Below are 25750 nucleotides of genomic sequence, written 5' to 3'. Positions count from 1 at the left end.
CTTGTTTTACAGAAGTTAGATTATGAAGAAGCCTCGAGCTAAGTATATCCATTAAGATTTTCTGATAGATTCCCATCTGAAGCATTGAAAACCAATCCTCCAGTGTTTTTCCTACTATATTTTGGTAACTGCAATCATCACTTAATGTTTTGATTAAGACTGCTATGGTTTACATATGGTTTGTTTGGTCCCACCAAGTCTCATGTTGAAATCTGATTCCCAATGTTGGAGGTGGGGCCTGGTGGGAGGTGTTTGGGTCATGTGGGCAGATTCCTCATTAATGGCTTGGTGCCACTAAGCGTTCTCACTCATAGTGAGAACTGGCTCAGTTCTCAGCCACAAGAACTGGCTGTTGAAAAGAGACTGGCAGCTCTTCCTCTTTCTCTCTTGCTTCCTCTCTCACTGTGTGATGCCTGCTCCCCTTCACCTTACACCAGGAGTGGAAGCCTCCTGAGGCCCTCATCAGAAGCAGATACTGATGCCGTGCTTCTTGTACAGCCTGCAAAACTGTGAGCCACATAAACCTCTTTTCTTTACAAATTACCCAGCTTCAGGTATTCCTTTATATCAATACAAATGGACTAAGACAGACTCAACATCAAAGAAAACATCCTCTGAGCCAGGCACAGTGGCACACAACTGTGTGCCCAACTACTTGGGAGGCTGAAGCAGAAGAAGTGCATGAGGCGAAGAGTTTGAGTCCAGCCTATGCAACAGGGTGAGAACCTATCTCAAAAAAGAAAACCTCACCTGAAAGAAATCTATAAGCAACAAAAAAAGAGCCAAAATGCAAACCCAAAGTGTACAAATTATTTAGTGTAGTCAAGCTCCTAATAACAGTGGGTTCCTTTTTCCTTTTTCAAAAATTAAGGCTTATTGAGCATTTTCCACAAATAAAGATCAGCTGTAGCATCCTGGTTAACATTTCTTTTTTCAATAAAAGATGCTAGTGTCCAACCCTGTGGTAAGTACCCATTGAAGTAGATATAATGGCCACTTTGTTTGCCTACACAAGCACTGATTTACCAATATTTAACTGTCTATATCCTATTTTCCCCAATACTTCCCCCCAAGGCACTTCTCGGTAGTAAGGAATCTAAAGACGTTCATTAGTTCTTAGGCCACTATACAACTGTTTCATATAATGATGCTGTTCCATAAGCATGGCACTTTGACAAGAGTTAAAATGCTTCTAGGATCTTACTATCCTGGGAAATGTTACACACTGAGAAAAATAAGATTCAGAATTCCTCTGAGTGATGTAAAAATCAAACATAAAGACACCTTTAAAAAGTCAAATTCTACTCTATGAGAGAGGAAATGTCAGTTTTGTAGCACTAAAATTATCTGCTGATCAGAAAACAAATTTTTCAATAATATACATTTTCCTTTGTTTCTGTTTCTGTCCTTAAGGCCAGAACCAGTAGGGTAACTTCTCTACTATAAAGCCTACAGAAGGTGGGCTGTGTTCTTGTTAACACACAGCTTGATAACACTGAATAATAAACAGGAAGAAGCACCCAAAATAACAAAAAAGTAAATAGTTCTAACAATTAGTTAAGTTAGAGAAATTGGAGGGGGAAAAAACAGTCTGCTGCTTGCAAAAACATGTATTCAATTTCCTTCTAGGGGAAGAAAACAGTTTTTTTAAATAAAGTAATTCCCGTAAGTCATACATGACTCTTTTTTTAGGTAAACTATTGTGCTTGATCACTTTTTACCTTAATAATAATGTTTTCATATTAAGACATGAAATTTTAATCCTAACACTTTCAGACTCAGAGAAGTGAAACACATATTTCAATATACAAAGATATACTAATATTTTAACTGTACTACCAAAGACAGAGCTTTTCAAACTTTTATAACAGAATTGCAATATCTTTTTTGCTAAAAAAAATTTATAAAATTTGACTTCACAATATACCTGAAGATTTATATAAAATATTTCAAATTACTGAAGTAAAACCGATGTTATAGGAAAACATACCATATTTACCCTGAACACTACATATATACTACATACCGCTTCGCCCAAGATTAACAAAGGTAAATTATGTATGCTTCATATATATGCTGTATTTTCTATTTTTCTTGTGTCACTTTCTTATGGCTGCCTTCTGAATCTTGTTCTCAAGCCTGAACCTAAAAACAGGACTCAGTCCTCCAAGGCAGCATTTGTGGTAAATGGTGCTAGGAAACTATATGCTTTATCCCAACCAGATTAAAGATGTATATTAGCATATCAAAGATTACAAATGTCCTGAGGTAAAAAACAAAAAAAAGACCCACTAAATTCTATCTAAGCCCTGCTCTTCATAAATGTCCCAACACAGCTAGGGAAATAATGCTCATGAGAAGCTCAAGGATTACTAAACCAGCCTTCAAAAGTAATGATTTTCCAAGAAAGGGCCAAGCCTCCTGATGGACTATAAATGATTTAGAAAGCATGACCTTCGTGGCCATGCCTGTAACCCCAGCACTTTGGGAGGCCGAGGCGGGTGGATCACAAGGTCAGGAGATCGAGACCGTCCTGGCTAACACGGTGAAACCCCGTCTCTACTAAAAATACAAAAAATTAGCTGGGCATGGTGGCAGGCATCTGTAGTCCCAGCTACTCAGGAGGCTGAGGCAGGAGAATGGCATGAACCCAGGAGGCGGAGCTTGCAGTGAGCGGAGATCGCACCACTGCACTCCCTCCTGGGCGACACAGCGAGACTCAGTCTCAAAAAAAAAGAAAACATGACCTTCCTTTAATCCATAAAGCTACTTATGAATAAACTATTAAGCTAGTTACCAAGAGTTGCAAAAATGAAGACTTTACTAGAATGTACCAAAAACTTCAATTTGTATTCCACTAGTATATCCAGTTGCTGCAACTGGCAATGCTGCAAGCTCCTACCACATATGCATACTCAAAACGTAGAAGTCCGTAACTTTCAAGAGGGGCACTTGCCATCAGTGAAACTGTGTTGTCTTTAGTTGGTCTTCGTTTTCAATTGTCATTATTCTTGCCTTTTAATTAAATTACCATTAGGTTTGGCTCATCGTTATCAATTTAGTTTTTGGTTATTTTATTATAACTGTAGAGAATATATTGATACAATTCCATCACTAGGATTTGAGGCCTGCAGTTTTCTAATTAGTCTAGACTTTATGACAAGCATATTTTTTGTGATTCAATTAGGAACCATCCATATAGCTCTTCCCAAAAAATGCTTATACCTTGACAAGTGTTATTATTCCATTAGAAAGTAGAAATTATTGAGCTAAAGAATGACTCAGCCAAAAGGCTAGGACTAAAAAAGCTTGACAGGCACTGTTCTAAGGGTCCTCACTCTGGCTATGATGTCGCTAATGTACGGGCAAGTCTTAGCCCCAGCCAGCCTTTCCACATGAACCAAATGTGGCAAAAGAACTCAGAATCGGGATCAGTCATGTAAGCAGTAACTTCTTTGAACCTGGATGTCAATGATCCTTCCAGTGTCTAGTTTTGAGTGGGGAAAAAACAGCTTTTAGGAATGTATTTAAATGACTAAATCCCATAACAAACTCTCTTCTCAAAAATCTTTTCCTAGTTTATTTTTAAAACTTTGCCAAGTTCATAGACACAGCTTGCAACTAAATGCTGTTAGGCAAAGATCATCCTAGAAAGGTATAAAAAAGCATGAGGAAAATGTTTTAAGAACTGTGGATTCTTAATATCTGTTTCCAACTGTGGAATGGAATTAAGCTCCTAAAACACGCCTACCCTAATAAATCTTGTAACTATGGGTTATTATGTTAAAGATGGAAGGAGTATATGATGGCAAAGTAAAAACATTATGGTATAACATTTCAGGGAATTCTTAGCCAATTTACCAATAATCTAGTTACCATGCTAAAGTTAATATACTTCCTTCTCCAAATACTGAGATCCAGAATGAAAAGACAAACAAAATAAATAAGCACAATAGACTTACCAAAAATCAGGTAATGAGAAACAACGCTGTTGGGATTGCCATAACCAACAGACCTTAGGCAAGTCAACCTCTCTGATCACTCTTTAAATTTATTGAAGGAGAGGCCAGATCACTGATTGTTAAAATCTCTTCTGGCTTTCACAGTCTGTATTTTTACTACTATGTATTGGAATAAGTTGTTTCCTACTAGTAGATTAGGTACTTGAAAAATTATTAACTCCAACAGGTCACAAGGGTATCACTTTAAAGCAATTCACCTAATATTCACTGAACTTCGAACAGTCTGTGCACAGCTCTGTGGGGTCAAATGTCCCATTACCAGCTAATTCACCTGTTCCTATCTCCTGAGAATTCTGCTTATGCTCATAATCATTATCATAATTACATTTTAATTACAATCCACAAGTTTTTAAAACCACCTATTTCTAAGAAACTCATTTAGGGCCATTCCTCAAACTAAGTGAACTATGAGCACTTGTATCTCAGGGCTCCACTGAGAATCAATCCTTTGTCAGCCAAAAACAGTTTCTAAGCTCCTGCATTACTTCTGGTTGTTTCAACACAGATGTGAACCTCAAAATACTTTAGCAGATCCTTTCCTCCACAGATCTTAACTGCCTAAGGACACAGTAAGTCAAAGTTTTTACTTCTGGGGGAAAAAAAGGTATTTATGCATTTATTCATTCATATGTCATATATTCTACTTCCTGTTAATCCAGGATGGACAGGAGCCATAAATAAAGTACCACATGCTTATTCCAAAATCTTTAGTGAAATAATTCCTATTTATTAAACTGGCTACAGCTTGTTTTTCCCCAAGAATTCAATTAAGAATGTCTAATTTTTTAATTAGGCATTTGCAATAATAAGCTTTATCATTTTATCACTCTTAATAATTAAAAACACTTGTTTGTAAAAGGCAAGCAGAACACACAGAAAGATAATTGAGTTGAATTTTAGCAGTATGCTTTCTGCCTACACATTAAAGAATAAATTATTAAGACAGAATCCACAGACCCCCCAAGGATATTTGAACGTACATTTTTCTGATGAGATAGCACAACACTTTGAGGAGATGCTCAGAGAAGTTCATGACCTTTGACAAGCAATTTCTGCATTAGGGAATATACTTTAAGATTTTATTCTCAGAATACTTCAAAATAAGCTATAATGGTAACAATTCCCTAAATTCAAGGATTTCTCATGAATTATGCCAACATTTCTGGAAAAAATTTCATGTAAGACAAGAATGATCTAAACTAGATATTTCAAAATAATCTTAAAATTGTCAAATAGTTAACATTTAAGTTAAACACACACACACAACTGCACACCAAAGCTGATGGCACAAACCCACAAACATTCTAACAAGAATGGATCCATTAATACATGTGGTATTAAGATATTTAGAAGGCTTTTTAACAGAACGTGCCAAAAAATTAACCACGAACAGTGATATATTCACAAAGTAGTGTGTCCTAATTTCTGCTACAGCAACCGGCTTTGTTCAAGTTCTGATATAACATCTACAGTATGCCAATTACATGTTGTAGTAGTCTAAAAGATAAAGATAGAGAGATACAGATTTAGATATAACTTATTCTATAGCGCCAAAATTAGATTTCCTAACCGCACGCTTTATCCATGTGATTACCCTCACCTTATCCCTGAATGTTCTTTCTCTCTATCGCCACTTGTTTAAGTTCTACTTTCATTCTAAAATAATGTCAGTTCCCACTTAAGAGTCTCTACCACCAATTTTGGCACATGATCCAGTGTTGCTACATTCTGTTTCACATATGTACAGTCTCTTCAATTATATTATCCCTGCCCTACAGTAGCTTACTATATCTAATTTCTCGTGCCCAGAACAGTATAATGCTCAAGTCTCAAAATATATTTATATGAACAAATTTGCACCTCACTTGGATTAACATGTCTATTATTATACTTATCACACTGCATGGTAACAACTGGTTAAAAAAAAAAAAAAAGTCTAGGGATTTGCTTCAAAATAAAGAAGGAAGTGGATGGAGGTATGGATGAAGCAAGACTGACCACAAGTTAGTAACTCTTAAAGTTGGTGATGTGTGTATTATTGCTGTCAATTTTCCATAATACAAAGTTTAGAAGCTTGCCTCTCCTACTAGTAAGAGGGCTTCTTAAAGACAAGTTCAAGAGTGTTCTTCTTTGTACATCTATCCAATACAGAACAGACCAATTGAACTTTACTAAACACGTTTCATTCTTTAGGTAGAACTACTTTTCAATGAAACTTCAACATCTTTTTGACGGTACTTTATTTAAAAAATTTTTCATTAGCTCAAATAAAACATATATTCACTCATTCATTATTTTCTGGGTCCCTGCTTCCTAAGATATGCTGTCCTGGTAAATGTAGGATACCAAAAATAATTTATCCTCTCTACTAAATTAAGAAGGGAAAGAAGGAAGATTAAAAGAAAATATTGTAAAATGCAGTAATACAGTTTTTAAGAAAGGCATCTAGGGCATCTATGTTTTTAATTAGAAAGAAGGCATACAACCTATTCAAGGAAGACGGGCTTAAAATTTCTCCTCCCCCTCCATTTTACAGATGAGGAAACTAAAGCCCATAGAGGGGAAGTGACTTGCCTAGCAAGTTACACATCAAGTAGCTAACAAAACCAAAATTAAAGCTCAGATCTGCTGATTCACAGTTCAATTTGAATTTTCTTTTTTTCTTTTTTTTTTTTTTTTGAGACGGAGTCTTGCTCTGTTGTCCAGGCTGGAGTGCAGTGGCGCTATCTTGGCTCACTGCAACCTCTGCCTCCCGGGTTCAAGCAATTCTTTTGCCTCAGCCTCCCGAGTAGCTGGGACTACAGGTGGGCGCCACCACGCCCGGCTAATTTTTGTAGTTTTACTAGATGGGGTTTTCACCATATTGGCCAGGCTGGTATCGAACTCCTGACCTCATGATCCGCCCACCTCGGCCTCCCAAAGTGCTGGGATTACAGGCGTGAGCCACCGCACCCGGCCCAATTTGAATTTTCTACATCATAATGCTTTTCTGTACACTGTAATGTTAACTAATGAAAGAGAATGAGTTATTTTATTGGTAGTATATATTTCAATTATTTATTAAATCATATTTAAAAAAATAATAGGATAAGATGGGGAAGGCTGGGAAGAAAAAGTGCACAACAAATTGGTAAGATACTTATGTGTGAAAACTACAGGCATATGCCATGCTTCATCAATTTTGAGATACATTTAAGACATAGTAACCATTTCACAAACATTTTGAAGTAAATATAGACAATATACATCTTCAAAAAATTCTAAAATATGAAAACATACATCTCTAAAGCAAGAAAATATAAGGTATCCTATTAGACACTAAAAAATCACTGTCATTTATTTAGAGGCAGTGTCACAGAGCACAAACACTCAGAGCAAGAGTCTCATCTTCTAAGGTAACAAATACCTAAGGCTTGTGGCATTTTTTTTCAGTTGAAGGTATAAATCAGTCCTCCGTGCTATTAGTTTCACAAGCATGGAGTTTTGGAGTTAGACAAAGAAAGGTTTGAATCCCAGCTCTGTCACTTAGCTCTCCAACCTTGGAAAGTTACTAACTTCTCTGAGTCTCACTCTCCTCATCTGTAATATGGTATTCACATTTTAGAGAATTATATGAGAATCAAATGTGGTAATTTGTTGAAGGATTATGCTACAGTGCCTAGATGAAATAGGAATCACATTAATATCGTTTCCTCTCAGAATCCCTATGGGCTAAGTGAAATTAAACTAAAAGCTAGATGAATTTACGCAACTCTTTCCTCTCTGTTTAGGAGACTGTAATAAGTCTGTACTGATCCTAGGGCAAATCCTATTGGTTTGGGAATCATTCTTTGAATAAGAAAAGCTTATTTTCTTGACTTCTGTCTCCACTCTTCAAATTGGGAACCGAAAACAATGGTGAATTTATAAGTGTTTAAGTTGATCAGCTATATCTAAATCCAGCACTTCCATTTTGTCTTACTGAACTGAAACTCTAAGCCTGTTGCAAACCCATTAATGAGAGGAACTATAGAACCAATGTGTAGGAAGAAGGATATAAAGCCAAAAGAAGCAGTTAAAATGACACAATTCTATCAGTGGTTTGTTGGGTTTTTTTAAACCTTAAATTCATGTATTAAACTCTAAGAAAACAAGTGTTCAGGAAAACAAAGACTGTATCTCCACCATTCAGGGTGGGTTAGTAACTTGATCCTTCAGGTTAAGCAAATACCACCTTTCAGTACATACAGTTTCAGTTTCCATCAGTGACAATCCAGTCATTTCCAAGATAGGAACACACCTACCAAGGTGGCTCTTACCAAGTAGGGACTGAAATAAGACTATCTTCTCTCCTACCCCAAGTTCAGACTAGCCTACCCACATTTTCCTGAGTATTAGCTCATTTCAGTTGAATGCTTGTCCCCACTAATTATAAAAATAATGCTCACTTTTTTTTTTTTTTTTGAGACAGGGTCTCACTTTGTCACTTAGGCTGGAGTACAGCGGCATGATCAAGGTTCACTGCAGCCTCAACCTCCCAGGCTCCCATCTCAGCCCCCCAAGTAGCTGGGATTACAGGTGTGCACACCACCTTGCCCAACTAATTTTTTTTTTTTTTTTGGATAGAAAAGGGGTTTTGCCATGTTGCCCAGGCTGCTCTTGAACTCTTGAGCTCAGGCGGTCTGCCTGCTCATTTTTTTAAATTTGAAAAAACTAAAAAGTGCAAGCATTTTAAAGCATCCATGATCTTCCAGCCAAAGATTAAAACATTACAAGGGGTCATACCATCATCTTTCCTATGAATCTGACCATAACTGTGAAAATATTTAAATTTGTATAGAGTACCTGCCACTAAACACAATTAACTACCAGCCCAAACATTAATATCTTCATTCCAGCTTTCTTGTGACTAAATTCACATTACTTTTTTACTTACTTAACTCAATGGTTTCTTCTCAATCGTTCTGAGTCTCTCAGCTATATACTTTGTTGCTAACCACCACCTCTTTAAAACTCTATCCCAGGTTTCTCTAAACAGTGTATTCCTCAGTATCTACAGAAATCTCTCCAACTAATCTTTTTCTTTCTTCACTGGCTCTTCTTACATAAACTGACAATCTCTAGAAAATAGATGAGGTCTGACTTGAATTTTCTTGTCAATATTGAACACCCAGCACTTACTACAGTGCCTGGCATCAAGCAGATGCTCAATTAACATTTACTGACTGATTCTGCCAATCCTGACCTGTCCCCTCCTAGCTGTGTGACCTTGGGCAAGTTATATCTCTCTGAGTCTTATCTCCCTCATCTATAAAATACAGATAATCAGAAGATGAGATAATATTTGGAAGGTTCAAAACAGTGTCTGCCACAAAGTAGCACCCAATAAATTTTGCTATTATTATCAATATACTCTAGCACAGGACTCAAAAATGTTTCCAACTTATGATATATGGTTGACTGTTAAACCTACCTCTCAATAACCTTACTTTCACTTCATTCTCCTATAACTATCAAATATTTTATGCTCTTTCCTTTACTACCTATCTCCAATCCATTATCAACTGTTAATTTTCTCTCCTAACCAACATAAAAAATTATTTATCAGCTAAGCTGCAACATAGCCTTGGTTGATTTCCAAACCCCTAAATCTTCATTCGAATCTTCAATCATCCTTAAAAACCATTTTTAATTTGTCACTCTTGTCCACAGTTGCTTATACCAAGTACAAACTACTGGAATGTCATCCTCATGTCTTGTAATAACCCACATCCCAACTTCTAGTTCACATGATGGCTCAAAACTCACCTCTTTCAGGAAACCTTCCCTGATTCACTCCACGCCACTCAGATTACTTCTCTACTGCAAGTCGCCTCAGCACTTAGGTATTGTTATACTAAGGGCAAATGTGATCACAGTAAACAGCATCACTAAGAAATCGCTTTCACAAAATTGTTTCTAGATCATAAATAATGGTCCATTAGTTAAAATGCTTTGCTGATCTGGTTAACAAGCAAACATGTTACACAGCAAATGCTCTCTTTGGCTTCTGTCCTTGACTCTATAACTCTTCACAAACCTTTTGTCCTATCCTCAAACAGAAACTCTATCTCCCATTTAAATACACTGGAAATATGGTAGTGGGCCACCTTCTTTTCTACTACCTCTTCTCTGACCTCAGTCTCTGCCTCCAGCCTCTATCCACACCCCATAAATAAAAATTCCAAAAGCTTCAAATAGAATAGCAGTGATGCATACATACCATGTCTTTCCTGAGTGAAAAAAAAAAAAAAACCCTCAAGCTACTTAGCTACAAAATTCTTCACAAGGGTAATAAATTTCCCAACAAGCCTAATACATAATCAAACTCCAGAAAATTTATGTGGAATTTTTATGGATAAATTTATGGAATAATTTTGGCCGGCGCGGCAGCTAACGCCTGTAATCCCAGCACTTTGGGAGGCCGAGGCGGATGGATCTCTTGAAGTCAGGGGTTCGAGACCAGCCTGGCCAATATGGTGAAACCCCGCCTCTACTAAAAATACAAAAATTAGCCGGTGCGGTGGGGCATGTCTCTGTAGTCCCAACTACTCGAGAGGCTGAGGCAAGAGCTGATCACTTGAACCTGGGAGGTGGAGGTTGCAGCGAGCCAAGATCGCGTCACTGCACTCCAGCCTGGGCAACAAAGCGAGACACACACACACAAATTTATAAAATAAAAACAAAACAAAACAAAAATTATAAAATAATTTTATGGAAAATGTATGGAATAACAGGGCCTGGGTGGGGTGGCTCACCCCTGTAATCCCAAGCCTTTGAGAGGCCACGGTGGAAAGATCTCTTGGGCCGAGGAGTTTGAGGCTGGAACGAGCTATGATCTCGCCACTGCACTCCAGCCTGGGCGACAGCAAACCCTGTCTCTGTTTACTTTTTAAATTAATTTGAAAAAAATACATCAGGATTGTACTTATACGTTAATTCTCACTTGTATTACTGTAAGAGATCTTGCATCATTTTTATGCTATATTACACATGCCCAACATGACAGCTGAGAAACTCCCCTGGAGGGCAGATTTTCTGAGAGTATCTTCTGATGTTGTCTTTAAACCAACACTTTTTTTTTTAACATAAAGAATTAAGGGATTCCTGACTGCCATCTAGTCAAAAGCAAACAATATGTATGCCATTACTTCGGAGGGAGTGAGTTCTTGTGCTGCTGAGGCAAAACGAGATGAACTGTCACAGGGATGGCAGGAGGGGTGGAGTGTAGGAGGAGGATCAGCCCCAGTAGTGAGAATTAAAAACTCTTTTGAGTATTTGGCCCTCCACTAGCAGTAAATTAACCTTCAAACCTGACCAAGACACTACCTGAGACCCTCCACTCTCCGACACCGCAGAATCAGACAACTGTTCTTGCTCAACTACTCATAAAAGATTCACAGCCTTCACCTACCACACATAAATCTACCGCGTTTGCTGCTTGTATACTTTGTCCTAACAGACCAACTAATGCCTTCTAGTCCAATAGCCTCCCGTCCACACCTCACATAAAACCTTCTCAGCCACCTTCCGGTTTCAGTAGGTGCCTCTTACTCCAGATCCACGTGTCCCCAGTTCTCCAGAGACCTTCACCTTCAAAACCCAAGCCCGTCCCCCCTTCACTCCCAGCTGATCTCCACCCAGGCCCTATCAATCCTTACTTCTAATAGGCCAACCACACTCCCCGGCCCCGCGCCTTCTCCCTCAGCACCCTTTTCTGAGCATCACCTATTTCCCACCACTTTCTTCCTCCCCAGACCCGGAATCCTGCAATCACTAGGCCTCCCTTTGCCGCTACCCTCCCGCGAGCACGCGGAGCCCGCTGCTCGGCTAACCACCCCGCCCCACCTTCGCCACCTCTAGCGGCCTCCCACCCCAGGCGGCTCCCCGGGCTCCGCGGCTGCAAACCAGGCCCCACCGTACGTCCCCCACGCGGTCCCGGCCCTGTGAAGGGCGGCGGCGGGGCAAAGAGGGGCAGAGACCACCCGGGGTGAGGCGGGCGCCCTCACTTCTGGGCGTACCCGGGCGGGGGCGGGGGCGGGACGGCTGGTCGGCGCCCCCGCCTCGGCCAGGCCTGCAGCCCGAGCTCCCGCAACCACTTCCCGAGCCAGGCGAGGAGGAGCCCGCAGCCCGGCCGCTCCCGCTGGCGCACCCCCTTCTCACCTAGACGCAGAGGCTCAGGCCTCGCTCTCCCACTGGCCGTCCAGCAATAGCTGCGCCGCCGCCGCCGCCGCCGTCGCGCTCTCTTCACTCGCTTTTCCACCGCCCGCGACCGGCTGCTGAAGAGCGGACGGGCAGTGGCACGCCCATTGGCTGAGGCCCGCAGTCGCGTCAGCCGGCCCCGACCGCACCTCGCGACGTGACTGGCTGGAGCGGCGCCTCTTTTCGACATCCGCTTTTGATTGGCTCTCGCGCACACCCTTATCCGCAGGACCAGTCATCCTCCTCCCTGCTTTAGCCTCTCACCCCCAACCCGGTTTCCCTCCGGGCGGGAGTGGGGCGGGAGCGGACGCCCGCGGAACGCGAACGGCCAATGGGGGCGCGGAGAGAGGGCCGGGAGGTGGGCCCTGCGGCCGGGAGGCTCGCGGGGGAATGCTCAGCCAATGGGCCCGCGCCCCACATCTCGAGTCCTGGAGCGCCCCCGCCGGCTGCTGGCGTCCTGTCGGGTCGCGCCCAGGGCCACGCCCGGCTGTCCGTCGCGCGGGAGGGGCGCCAACTCCCAAGGTTGGGAGCACGCAGCGAGGCCCGCGCGGGAGACAGCGGGGCTGCCATTGTGGCGTGCTTAGCGCTATTATGGTGGGGCCCGGGGGCCCTCCGGCCATTGCTGGGCGTGAGGGATCCGTTCGGAGAACTACCAGCTTGGCGGGTGTGGCCCGGGTCGGTGAGAGCGAAGAGCTCTACGGACCCCTGGAGCCTCCACGGGTCTCGCCCAGTCCCAGGGGACTGTGGGCCCATTCATTCCACCTTCCACTTCCTCCAAAATAATTCCCTACAAAACTTACCGGTAGTGATAGGAGTTAGAATAACGTTTACTTCTGAGGGGTGGGGCACGAGGGAACCTATGGAAAGCTGGAAACATTGCGTCTTGATCCTGGTGGTCGTTCCGGGCTGTGTACACATGGAGGAATTCATCGAGCCGGACACTTAATAGTATTACCACATTCATACGGCTCATTTTTAAAAAATAATAAAAGGATCATGAGAATTCTGTAATAATATTACCACAATCTTTGGGCTCCGTGGGACTCCATTGTATAAACAGTCCGCATTAGGATTTAGCTGTCATTCAAAACATGCAAGCCATAGGAAGAAAAAAAAAGATTTGTGAGAAGCAAAAATGAGTGAACGCTCTTGGCACGGTGAATAGCATGCACAGGTTGGTATTTAGGGATGGATGGCTCAGAGTGATTTTTCTGTGGGGATTTAGAGCTTGTTTCAGTGCCTGGCCCTGTTAGTAGCTAAAAGCAGTCATAGTGCTGCATCCAGTTGGAAACTACAAAAGCTCACTGAACTGCCTACTTTGTGGCAGATGTTAAGTTCTGGCTCAGGAAACTAATTTGAATGCCATGGCTTCTGCCTCGATGAGCTCACAGTCTTGCAGCAAGTACTGTCATTTCTGGAGGAGGGCACAGAACACAAAGCTAACACACTTGCTTACCCTCAGGGATGTCGCATTCCGCTACTTTAGGCAAGACAGTGTATGCCTGGAACCCATCCAGTCCAATAGCCATAGTCATAAATAGCCAGGATCAGGTGAAACACTTCTTAGAAGTGGGTCAAAATATTCTCCCAAAACAAACGTAAGAACTATGGACCAAATTCTAATCTGTAAAAGAACACAAGCAACAAAACAAAGATTACAGTATTCATATTTATTAATTTAGTCATTAAGTTGTTTAAATCAGGTAAATGCCTTTATTTAAAGTGCTTGTCACTACACTAGGCATATAAACTTGGATATGACAGTATTCCACAGAACATAGGGTTTAATGGAGAGACAGACATAAACAATGCCAGTGTAATACAGGATGAGGGAATACCTAGAAAGAGGATGTAACCCAGCATGGGGGATTCAGGAGCATGTTAGAACATGTGTAGCTAAGTTAACCACTGCTAAGGTTTATCAGTATACTGATAGGGTAATATCACTATAGGAAATAGACACTATTTCCAGAAAATACTTCATAAACTTTTTGTTGTTTGTGCATATGTCTTAATTTTAAAAATTGATATAAGTACAAAAGCAAAGTAATGCTTAGTTCTGAGGAAAATATGATGTAATTATTAAGTAATCACTTAATAAATGATTCTCAAAAATAGCCGTACACTTGAGAGCACAAAGGGATCTCATTTGATTCAAGTCAATGTGTATGAAATGTGTGCCTCCGGCAGACCCCCACAAATGGACAGAGTGCTTTCTGGAGGAAGACTTTAAAAAACAATGGATCACTCTCCAAGATGGTACAATTTCATGGGTAAGGCATGTTGTATGACTCGAATCTTCCATAATATACTATCATTCTTAAATGAATTCAGAGAATTAATAAATCTACAAAAAGTGAGTAATAAAAGGCAGTGAAAGATTTTGCACCAGAGTTTAAACTAGAAAAATGTAATGACATCAATCATTCATTCATCTGCCTTTCCCATCTTTATTCAGCAAGATCCCTGAAAATTGGGCGCCATATATTGGTATCAACTGCATTATAATTTTATTCAAACATGAAACAACTCTACATCTTTTTGATCCATGCTATAGAAACAATATCTTTTAAATGAAGGTAAATTACACCAAGCCAAAAATGTACCATTATAGTTTCTAGCCTAAAGGGAGATACTATATATCATTGAGAAAATATATAGGAATAAAGACCAAAACGAATATGCTACCCTTAACGTGGTTGGCATATTGGCCATAACGTGGCTATTATGACTCTCAGAATTTCATAACATTTTTAGAAACAAAAAACAAGTTCAAGCATTTTTATGCAAATACTGCTCTGAGGAAACAGTTTTCTTCTGGCATGTGTCATTTTCTAACACTTTTTTTGTGGAAATGTCTTATTCAGTATAGTTCTGATGAAGTCTTCACTTTATCCTCACAGCAGCCCTATGCAAGTATTCATCTATTCATCTAAATTCTGTAGAAGACAAACTTGAGGCTCAGTGAGGCAAGTAACTTGTCTAAAGACACATAGCTGTTAGGTGGCAGAAGTAGGATTAAAATCTAGATAGATTTGATGGCAAGCCCCATTATCTTTCTACTTATGCTTCATTTGCCTCTTCCAAAACCAGACCAAGTCATTATGTCTTGTCATTATACATCTTTGTATCCCTCACAATAAGTAGTACAGAGTCTTTTTTTTGAGAAGGAGTCTCGTACTGTCGCCCAAGCTGGAGTGCAGTGGTGCAATCTCGGCTCCCTGCAAGCTCTGCCTCTCCGGTTCACGCCATTCTCCTGCCTCAGCCTCCCGAGTAGCTGGGACTACAGGTGCGCACCACCACACCCAGCTAATTTTTTTTTGTACTTTTAGTGAAGATGGGGTTTCACCATGTTGGCCAGGGTGGTCTCAATCTCTTGACCCTCTGATCTGCCCGCCTTGGCCTCCCAAAGTGCTGGGATTACAGGTGTGAGCCACCGTGCCCAGCCTTCAGCCTTTTTTTTTTTTTTTGAGACGGAGTCTTGTTCTGTCCCTCAGGCTGGAGTGCAGTGATGCAATCTCGGCTCACTGTAACCTCTGCCTTCCTGGGTTCAAGTGATTCTCCTGCCTCAGCCTCCCGAGTAGCTAGAATTAGAGGCACCTGCCACCATGCCTGGCTAATTTTTGTATTTTTAGTAGAGACAGGGTGTCACCATGTTGGCCAAGCTGGTCTCGAACTTCTGACCTCATGATCCACCCGCCTTGGCCTCCCAAAGTGCTGGGATTACAGGCGTGAGCCAGCACGCCTGGCCCAGCATCTTATATACACACCCATCATGGAATTCACCAAATTAATCCTTCTTTTCACCATGCTTTACTTTACAGATTGCATGACAATAGAAAGTATAAACTATTTAAAAGTAACTGTAGCACATTAAAAATATTTGTTTTGATAAAACTAATGAGAATACAACTTTCTTTGTAGTTGCTGTGGAAAACCCATCATAACTGTCTAGAATGCACCAGAGATGTTCACTCTCAGCATAGAAAGAGTTACAGGCAACTTTTCCCAAGTGAACTAAATTTTAATGAGAGCAGTATTCTCTGTAGTTCATTTTATGGTATCTGCCTTGCCCTGCACCCAATCATGACTTCCAGAATAGGTCTGCTTTAAAAATATTTTTAAAGCCTGTTAGTAAAAACAAAAACAAAAAAATCCTATTAAGGTTTTAACATTTCCACCAGTACATTGATTGCCTGTCTAGGCAAGTACACACAGGTTCCTGTGGCTTCATTTCCCCAGTATCTGTTCTGGGTGTTTCAGAGGTCTGTGAAATAAGTTTGGTTTTCATCTGGAGGGGAATGCTCTGACCCTCAGATATTCCACAAGTTTAATCTAAGTGGAACAAAAATGGAGCTGCTATGTCCCTCGATCTTCTAAATTATTCTTTGTGTCTTGACTATTGACTTTCTGGTTCTCGACTATCTCCTCTAGACGTTGTTGATTGATAAAAGTGCCCTGGTATTACCCAGCTCCCAGGTCTTGGAAAGAAGAGGCACAGTATTTGTAACATGTTTTAGATACCATCTGTTGTCAATTTCCCAAGCATCATTGTGAAAAGAAGGCATCTTGTTGGCCAATTTATTTCCACATCTCATTAGATGGTCATTGTTCTGTCTGTCTTTTGTGGGTAGCATTGCCATGATTTGGAGCTCATTTGGGAGCAATAGTAACTGTATAGAACTCTGGAAATTATTCTTCTTTTTCCTGTCTTCTTTTCTTTTTCTTTCTTTCTTAGGGATTTACTCCCTTTGCACATGAGTCAGAACAGAGCTGCCACAGATGCCCAGAAATGAGAATGACTAATTCGACATCTTTTATCTAAGGTCATAGCATGTCCAAGATGTAAGCCCCAGACTCTGACTTGCCCTGTTCTTTGGGTGGTGCTTCTTGAGAATAGTACCTAAAGTCCCTAAAGTCACTACCAGCACACCCTTGGGCTTCTAAGGTAAGGCCTCCTCCTGGATATATTTGCAAACAAAGGCCCTAAACTGGGAGAACTTCACACAGCCAACCACACCTATGTGTAAAAAAGCTTGTCAGTGTCTACAAAGGTATGACTCTAAGGAAATAAAACATTTGACTCATTTGCTAATCTCCAGTTATCCAAAGTAGAGAACAGTGCACAGATTACAGTTTCTCCATAAACAAAGCCATTCAATCATTCTGTTCTGGTATTTCTTAGAGCAGCCAGTTATTTATAGATATATAATTAAAATTACTTTCATCTGTTTCTTTTTTTTACTTTTTTTTTTTATGTGGCTACTAGAAAAGTTAAAATTATATGTGGCCGTTAGCCAGGAATGGTAGCGTATGCCTATAATCCTAGCTACTAGGGAGGCTGAGGCAGGAGGATCACTTGAGCCCAGGAGTTTGAGGTTAGTTACACTGAGCTATGATCACACCACTGCATTCCAACCTGGGGAACAGAGCAAGACTCTTTCTAAAAAACAATAAAAATAAATTATATGTGGCTTGTATTATCTTCCTGTTGGACAGCATTTGTCAAGATGGCAAAAAAGGCCAGGTGTGGTGGCTCACTCCTGTAATCCCAGCACTCTGGGAGACCAAGGCGGGTGGATCACTTGAGGTCAAGAGTTCAAGACCAGCCTGGCCAACATAGTGAAACCTTGTCTCTACTAAAAATACAAAAATTAGCCGGGTGTAGTGGCAGGCACCTGTAATCCCAGCTACTCTGGAGGCTAAGGCACAAGAATCACCTGAATCCGGGAGACGGAGGTTGCAGTGAGCCAAGATAGTGCTGGTGCACTCCAGCCTGGACAATAGAGCAAGATTCAGTCTCAAAAAAAAAAAGGCAAAAAAGATAAACACAATAAAATATAACTGCTATAGGAAAAGTCAATAGAAAGTATTGTGGGCACACAGAGGAACAACTGTGTAGGAGATTCTAGGAAGGCATCACAGAGGAGGTAATATATGACTTGAATCCCAATGAGTGAGTAAGGATATTGATAAGTATTTCCCAGGCAGAAGATGAGCATGTAGAATGTTACATAAACATGAAAGAGTGACTAGCAAGTTGAAATGTTAAAAATAGCTTGCTGTTTCTCAAGTTTGGCATAGAGGGCAGGGTGCTCGCTGAAAAGTAGTAAGAAATGAAGTTGGAAAAATAGATTAAAGCAAGATATGAAAAGTCATGAAAGCAACACACCATTGATATTTTTAATAAAAAGGATTGATGTTTCTTGAGCTTTAGAAAGATAACTCCAGTGGTCACATGGAAGTTGAACTAAAGAGGGGAAAAGACTTGGGGTGGGAGAATAGGAAACAAAGATAGGAAGTTTAAATGGCTATAATTTTGGGCAGTGGTAGTGAGAATGCAGAGGACAGGGCCACAAAAGGTATCTCAGAAGTAGAATTGACGAAAACTGGTAACTCATGTAGGAGAAGTAAAGGAAAGAGAGGAATTAAGAGAGATGCCCAGAAGTGTTCCTACTAGGTCACAGGCTAGGCTAGAGTGACAATTTCCTTCTGTTCATTCAACAAATATTACTGAAGGCCCATATGGGTGCCAGGTAGTAGGGTATTGGTGCTTAATGGGCTGCCAGTGACAATGTCATAACGTTGTGTGATTCAGTTTAAAACATTTACTAGACATCAGGCATGAGGCACAGTGCCTGTAATCCTAGCACTTTGGGAGGCTGAGGTGGGTGGATCACTTGAGGTCAGGAGTTCAAGACCAGCCTGGCCAATATGGTGAAACCCCATCTCTACTAAAAATACAAAAAAAAAAAAAAAAAATTAGCCGGGCCTGGTGGCACATGCCTATAATCCCAATTACTTGGGAAGCTGTGGTGGAAGAATGGCTTGAACCCAGGAGGTGGACATCACAGTGAGCTGAGATCGTGCCATTGCACTCCAGCCTGGGCAACAGAGAGAGACTCTGTCTAAAAAAAAAAAAAAAAGAAGAAGAAGATTTCTATTTTATGTACTGTTCCTTGTGTAAGAGCATGTACCTACCTTAAATCCTGTCCTTAGGTCAAAACAACCTTGACCATAAATCAGACCCTAGGTATATTCATGTAACATTTTTGGCTTTTCCTACAATTGCCCTACACATTCCCTCCCTATGGTGTATAAGCCCTGTGTCCAGGAGGTAATGTTATGGGGGGGTCCACCTTCTTGTCTTGCTGCTGCCCAAAACACAGACATAGCTTCCATTTGTAAGTCCCTATTAAATGGTTTTTTGTTTTGTTTTTGAGAAACTTAGTTTTTCAGCTTCTTTCTTCAGCCTCTCAGCTCCCTTGGACTTCTGGGGGTAGATTTGCATAGACCTGCCTACCACAGAAATGTGGCAAGGCAGGCAGGAGCTGAGAGAACAAGAAATGGGCAAAGGAAATAAAGCATCCATGGGGGAAATCCCAAGCTGGCCAGCCACTTCAATGTGGAGTGGTGTGGCTTACCTGTTAGACATTGGTGGGCCACAAAGCAAATCCAGAAACACCCTGAAAATGCTGATGGGTTTAGAGCAATCGTTAACTATGAGCCATCTGTCACACATCACACTGCTGTAAGGAAGGGTGCTGAGTAGCTGATGCAGTCAGATTGCTGCTTCTGTGGGCTGTCCATTTGACAATGGAAGCCCAGCTACCAGCAGAAGCAAAGTAAGATGGCTTGAGGAAACACTTTTAAAACGTGTTTTTTAAAGAGCTCTATGGTCAAAAGTACATATATACTGTTTTAAGACCTCTGTTTTCTCTGTAAAACTTCTCAGTTGACTGAATTCTGTTTTTCTATCTGTCTGTCCCTCCTTTCTCTTGACGCCCTTGATATCACATGAGGGACCTGAAAAAGGGAATTTCAAATAGCTTGGTGTGTTAGTCCATTCTAACACTGCTATAAAAAAAATACCTGGGACTGGGTAATTTATAAGAAAATAGGTTGAATTGGCTCAAGTTATGCAGGCTGTACAGGAAGCATATCAGCTTCTGCCTCTAGCGAGGCATCAGGCAATTTACAATCATGGCAGGAGACAAAGTGGGAGCCAGCACTTTGCATGGCTGGAGCATAAGTGGGGCAGGGAAGTGCCACACACTTTTAAACAACCAGATCTCATGAGAACTCTATCTTGAGAACAGCACTAGGGGGAAGGTGCTAAACCATTCATGAGAAACTACCCCCATGATCCAATCACCTCCCACCAGGCCCCACCTACAGCATTGGGGATTACAATTCAACATGAAATTGGGTGGGGACACAGATCCAAATTATATCATTCTGCTCCTCATCCCTCCCAAATTTCATGTCCTTCTCACATTGCAACATACAATCATGCCTTCCCAACAGTCCCCCCAAATCTTAACTCATTTCAGCATTAACTCAGATGTCCAAAGTGTCATCTGAGACAAGGCAAATTCCTTACGCCTATGATCCTGTAAAATAAAAAACAAGTTATTTACTTCTAAGATACAATGAGGGTATAGGCATTGGGTAAGTACTCCTGTTCCAAAAGGGAGACATCAGCCAAAAGAAAGGGGCTACAGCCACCATGCAAGACTGAAACACAGCAGGTCAGCCATTAAAACTTAAAGCTCCAAAATAATCTTTGACTTCATGTCTCACATCCAGGACACACTGGTGCAAGGGGTGGGCACCCAAGGCCTAGGGCAACTCTGCCCCCAAGGCTGCTCTCATGGGCTGATATTGAGTGCTTATGGCTTTCCAAGTGCATGTTGTAAGCTGTTGGTGGCTCTACCATTCTGGGGTCTGGAGTATAGTGGCCCTCCTCCCACAAATCCACTAGGCAGTGCTGCAGTGGGGACTCTGTATGGGGGCTCCAATCCCACATTTCCCTTCCATACTACCCTTATAGAAGTTCTCCATGAGGGCTCTGCCCCTGCAGCAGGCTTCTGCCTGGACATCCAGGCTTTTCCATACATTCTCTGAAATCTAGACAGAGGCTCTCAAACCCCAAATCTTGCATTCTGCACACCCATAGCCTTAACACCATGTGGAGGCCACCAAGGTTTATGGTTGCACACCCTCTGAAGCAGTGTCCCAAGCTGCACCTGGGCTCCTTTTAGCCACAGCTGGAGCTGGAGTGACTTGTATGCAGGGATCAGTGTCTTGAGGCTGCACAGTGCTGCAGGGCCCTGGGCATGGTTCACAAAACTATTGTTTTCCTAGGGCTCTGGGCCTGTGATGGGAAGGGCTGCCACGAGGGTCTCTGAAGTGCCTTCGAAGCATTTTCCCCATTTTCTTGGCTATCAGTACTTGCCTTCCTTTTAGTTATGCAAATTTCTGCAGCTGGTTTGAATTCCTCCCCAGAAAATGGGCTTTTCTTTTCTAACACATAGTCAGGCTGCAAGTTTTCCAAACTTTTATACTCTGCTTCCCTTTTAAATATAAGTTTGAGTTTTACATCATTTCTTTGCTCACACATATGAGCATAGGTTGTTAGAAGCAGCCAGGCCACATCTTGAACACTTGGCTGCTTAGAAATTTCTTCCATCAGATACCCTATAGTATCACTCTAAAGTTCTTTCACAGATCCATAGGGCCAGAGGCAATAGTGCAGCCATCTTCTTTGCCAAGAGGTAACAAAAGTGACCTATGCTCCAGTTCCCAATAAGTTCCTTATCTCCATCTGAGACCTCATCAGCCTGGACTTCACTGTCCATATCACAATCTGCGTTTTGGTCACAACTATTCAACAAGTCCCTAGGAAGCTCCAAACTTTTCCTCATCTTTCTATCTTCTTCTGAGCCCTCCAAACTCTTCCAACCTTTGCCTGTTACTTGGTTCCAAAACTACTTCCACATTTCCAGGTACTTCCACATTTCCAAAACTACTTCCACATTTCTTTGTAGCACTTCATCACCCCTCAGTACCAATTTTCTGTATTAGTTCATTCTCACACTGCTATAAAGTAATACTTGAGACTGGGTAATTTATAAGAAAAAAAGGTTGAATTGGTTCATGATTTTGCCAGCTGTACAGGAAGCCTATACAGTGGCTTCTGCTTCTAGGGAGGCCTCAGGAAACTTACAATCATGGCAGAAGGTGAAGGAGGAGCCGGCACTTCCCATGGCTGGAGTAGAAGGAGAGAGATGGAGTGAAGTGCCACACATTTTAAAATAATCAGATCTTGTGAGAACTCTATCATGAGAACAGCACTAGGTGGATGGTACTAAACCATTCATGAGAAACCACTCCCATGATCCAGTCACCTCCCACCAGGCCCCACCTCCAGCATTGGGAATTAAATTTCAACATGACATTTGGGCAGGGACACAGATCCAAACCATGTCACCTGAGATCCCTGGGAAAAACAGGGAAAGGTGACAAAGACTCCTTTTTTGGAAAGGAATCTCTGTTTTTCCTCATGGAACCCTAAAAGTTGTAAATGGATAGATTCCACTCAGGTTTAAAATTGCTCTCTTTTGTATTGTTTTGTCTGATCTCTTTGGGTATGGGGGGACACCAGAGGTTACTTTGTACTATGAGAGGACTTGACATCAGTGTGTATAATGGTTGGCAGTCATGGGCAAGAGCTACAGTGTTAGAGGTGACTGATGACAGTTGCTTACACTAAATAGTTATTTCCACAAGGAGCTACCTGTTTTTCTTTGGTTTATGTACCTAGAGGATACAGAAACTCTTGACACTGAGAGATAAAACTCCATGGGGGATGGCCTGATCACTGAATTGGCTGATTGGCATTGGGTTGCCCACCAGCCTCAGGGAAATGGTCTTGCAGGAGGTGCACTGTGGTAGCATTGCATTAACCAGTTCATGGTTTTTCTTTTTGAGGACCCAGGATTCAGTGTAAAATGGAATCCTTGATTTTGAGGGATCTAAGTCTTCTGCCTTTCAGTAAACATTAGGCCCTAAAAACTGCATGCTTTCTGTCCTCTGTTCATTGAAGGGTCATATTGTTTGGCTCTGTGTCCCCATCCAAATCTCATCTTGTAGCTCCCATAATTCCCATGTGTTGTGGGAGGGATCCAGTGAGAGATAATTGAATCAAGGGGGTGGGTCTTTCCTGTTCTGTTCTCGTGATAGTGAATAAGTCTCATAAGATCTGATGGTTTTAAAAACGGGTTTCCCTGCACAAACTCTCTCTTTGCCTCCCACCATCCTCCTTGCCTTCCCTTATGATTGTGATGCCACCTTGGCGACATGGAACTGTAAGTCCATTAAACTTTTTTCCCGTATAAATTATCCAGTCTCAGGTAGGTCTTTATTAGCAGCATGAAAACAGGTTAATACAAAGGGCTTCACCCTGAAGCTGGTAATCTAATTAAGAAGCTAAGTTAAAAAGAAGACACTTTCTATCAATCTTATCTTCAGATAATGATGTTAGGTCTAAGTTCTGCACCTTCGAAATTAAACTTTTCTTTTTCTTTTTTTTTTAATACTTTAAGTTCCAGGGTACGTGTGCATAATGTGCATGTTTGTTACATAGGTATACATGTGGCATGTTGGTTTGCTGCACCCATCAATTCGTCATTTACATTAGGTATTTCTCCTAATGCTATCCCTCCCCGAGCCCCCCCACTCCCCAACAGGTCCCAGTTTGTGATGTTCCCTTCCCTGTGTCCATGTGTTCTCATTGTTCAACTCCCACTTATGAGTGAGAATATGTGGTGTTTGGTTGTCTGTCCTTGTGATATTTTGCTGAGAATGATGGTTTCCAGCTTCATCCATGTCCCTGCAAAGGACATGAACTCATCCATTTTTATGGCTGCATAGTATTCCATGGTGTATGTGTGCCACATTTTCTTTATCCAGTCTATTATTGATGGACATTTGGGTTGGTTCCACATCTTTCCATTGTGAATAGTGCTGCAATAAACATGCATGTGCATGTGTCTTTATAGTAGCATGATTTCTAATCCTTTGGGTATATACCCAGTAATGGGATTGCTGGGTTGAAAGGTATTTCTAGTTCTAGATCCTTGAGGAATTGCCACACTGTATTCCACAATGGTTGAACCAATTTACACTCCCACCAACAGTGTAAAAGCATACCTATTTCTCCACATCCTCTTCAGCATCTGTTGTTTCCTGACTTTTTAATGATTGCCATTCTAACTGCCAATCTAACTGGTATCTCATTGTGGTTTTGATTTGCATTTCTCTGATAACCAGTGATCATGAGCATTTTGTCATATGTCTGTTGGCTGCATAAATGTCTTCCTTTGAGAAGTGTCTGTTCATATGCTTTGCCCACTTTGTGATGGGGCTGTTTTTCTCTTGTAAATTTGTTTAAGTTCTTTGTAGATGCTGGATATTAGCCCTTTGTCAGATGGATAAATTACAAAAATTTTCACCCATTTTGTAGGTTGCCTGTTCACTCTGATGATAGTTTCTTTTGCGGTGCAGAAGTTCTTTAGTTTAATTAGATCCCATTTGTTTATTTTTGGCTTTTGTTGCCATTGCTTTTGGTGTTTTAGTCATGAAGTCTTTGCCCATGCCTATGTCCTGAATGGTATTGCCTAGGTTTTCTTCCAGGGTTTTTATGGTTTTAGGTCTTACATTTAAGTCTTTAAACCATCTTGAGTTAATTTTTGTATAAGGTGTGAGGAAGTGATCTAGTTTCAGCTTTCTACATATGGCTAGCCAGTTTTCCCAGCACCATTTATTAAATAGGGAATTCTTTCCCCATTTCTTGTTTTTGTCAGGTTTGTCAAAGATTAGATAGTTGTAGGTGTGTGGTGTTACTTCTGAGGCCTCTGTTCTGTTCCATTGGTTTATATGGTTGTTTTGGCACCAGTACCATGCGTTTTGGTTACTGTAGACTTGTAGTATAGTTTGAAGTCAGGTACTGTAATGCCTCCAGCTTTGTTCTTTTTGCTTAGGATTGTCTTGGCTATGTGGGCTCTTTTTTGGTTCCATATGAACTTTAAAGTAGTTTTTTCCAATTCTGTGAAGAAAGTCAGTGGTAGCTTGATGGGGATAGCATTGAATCTATAAATTACCTTGGGCAGTATGGCCATTTTCATGATATTGATTCTTCCTATCATGAGCATGGAATGTTCTTCCATTTGTTTGTGTCCTCTTTTATTTCATTGAGTAGTGGTTTGTAGTTCTCCTTGAAGAGGTCCTTCACATCCCTTGTAAGTTGTATTCCTAGGTATTTTATTCTCTTTGTAGTAATTGTGAATGGGAGGTCAGTCATTATTTGGCTCTCTGTTTGTCTGTTCTTGGTGTATAGGAATACTTGTGATTTTTGCACATTGATTTTGTATACTGAGACTTTGCTGAAGTTGCTTATCAGTTTAAGGAGGTTTGGGGCTGAGATGATGGGGTTTGCTAAATATACAATCATGTCATCTGCAAACAGAGACAATCTGACTTCCTCTTTTCCTAATTGAATACCCTTTATTTCTTTCTCTTTCCTGATTGCCCTGGCCAGAACTTCCAACACTATATTGAATAGGAGTGGTGAAAGAGGGCATCCTTGTCTTGTGCCGGTTTTCAAAGGGAATGCTTCCAGTTTTTGCCCATTCAGTATGATATTGGCTGTGGGTTTGTCATAAATA

At 41.2% G+C, this 25750-nt stretch overlaps 1 protein-coding gene across 11 annotated transcripts in view, besides 4 other annotated features; it reads right to left on the bottom strand.

The window, feature by feature from the left end:
* FAR1 (fatty acyl-CoA reductase 1) overlaps positions 1 to 12342 on the bottom strand; it is a 63679-nt gene extending 51337 nt beyond the window's left edge. For all 11 annotated transcript variants that reach the window (NM_001441242.1, NM_001441245.1, NM_032228.6 and 8 more), the window contains exon 1: positions 12204 to 12342. The gene's annotated coding sequence lies outside the window, so the exon portion shown is untranslated. The remainder of the gene's footprint in view (positions 1 to 12203) is intronic.
* Positions 311 to 470: an enhancer, noted in NCBI's record as "active region_4467". NCBI's record gives its function as "activates an Ori minimal core promoter by ATAC-STARR-seq in GM12878 lymphoblastoid cells {active_cell/tissue: GM12878}" and the evidence as "EXISTENCE:reporter gene assay evidence [ECO:0000049][PMID:35858748]".
* Positions 11783 to 11832: an enhancer, noted in NCBI's record as "active region_4466". NCBI's record gives its function as "activates an Ori minimal core promoter by ATAC-STARR-seq in GM12878 lymphoblastoid cells {active_cell/tissue: GM12878}" and the evidence as "EXISTENCE:reporter gene assay evidence [ECO:0000049][PMID:35858748]".
* Positions 11913 to 12192: a silencer, noted in NCBI's record as "silent region_3169". NCBI's record gives its function as "represses an Ori minimal core promoter by ATAC-STARR-seq in GM12878 lymphoblastoid cells {active_cell/tissue: GM12878}" and the evidence as "EXISTENCE:reporter gene assay evidence [ECO:0000049][PMID:35858748]".
* Positions 12303 to 12792: a silencer, noted in NCBI's record as "silent region_3168". NCBI's record gives its function as "represses an Ori minimal core promoter by ATAC-STARR-seq in GM12878 lymphoblastoid cells {active_cell/tissue: GM12878}" and the evidence as "EXISTENCE:reporter gene assay evidence [ECO:0000049][PMID:35858748]".

This window comes from Homo sapiens, chromosome 11, assembly GCF_000001405.40.
Source record: "Homo sapiens chromosome 11, GRCh38.p14 Primary Assembly".
Classification (NCBI taxonomy): Eukaryota; Metazoa; Chordata; class Mammalia; order Primates; family Hominidae; genus Homo; species Homo sapiens.
The sequence above is the reverse complement of the archived record's forward strand: the minus strand, read 5'-3'. Positions and strand labels throughout refer to the sequence as shown.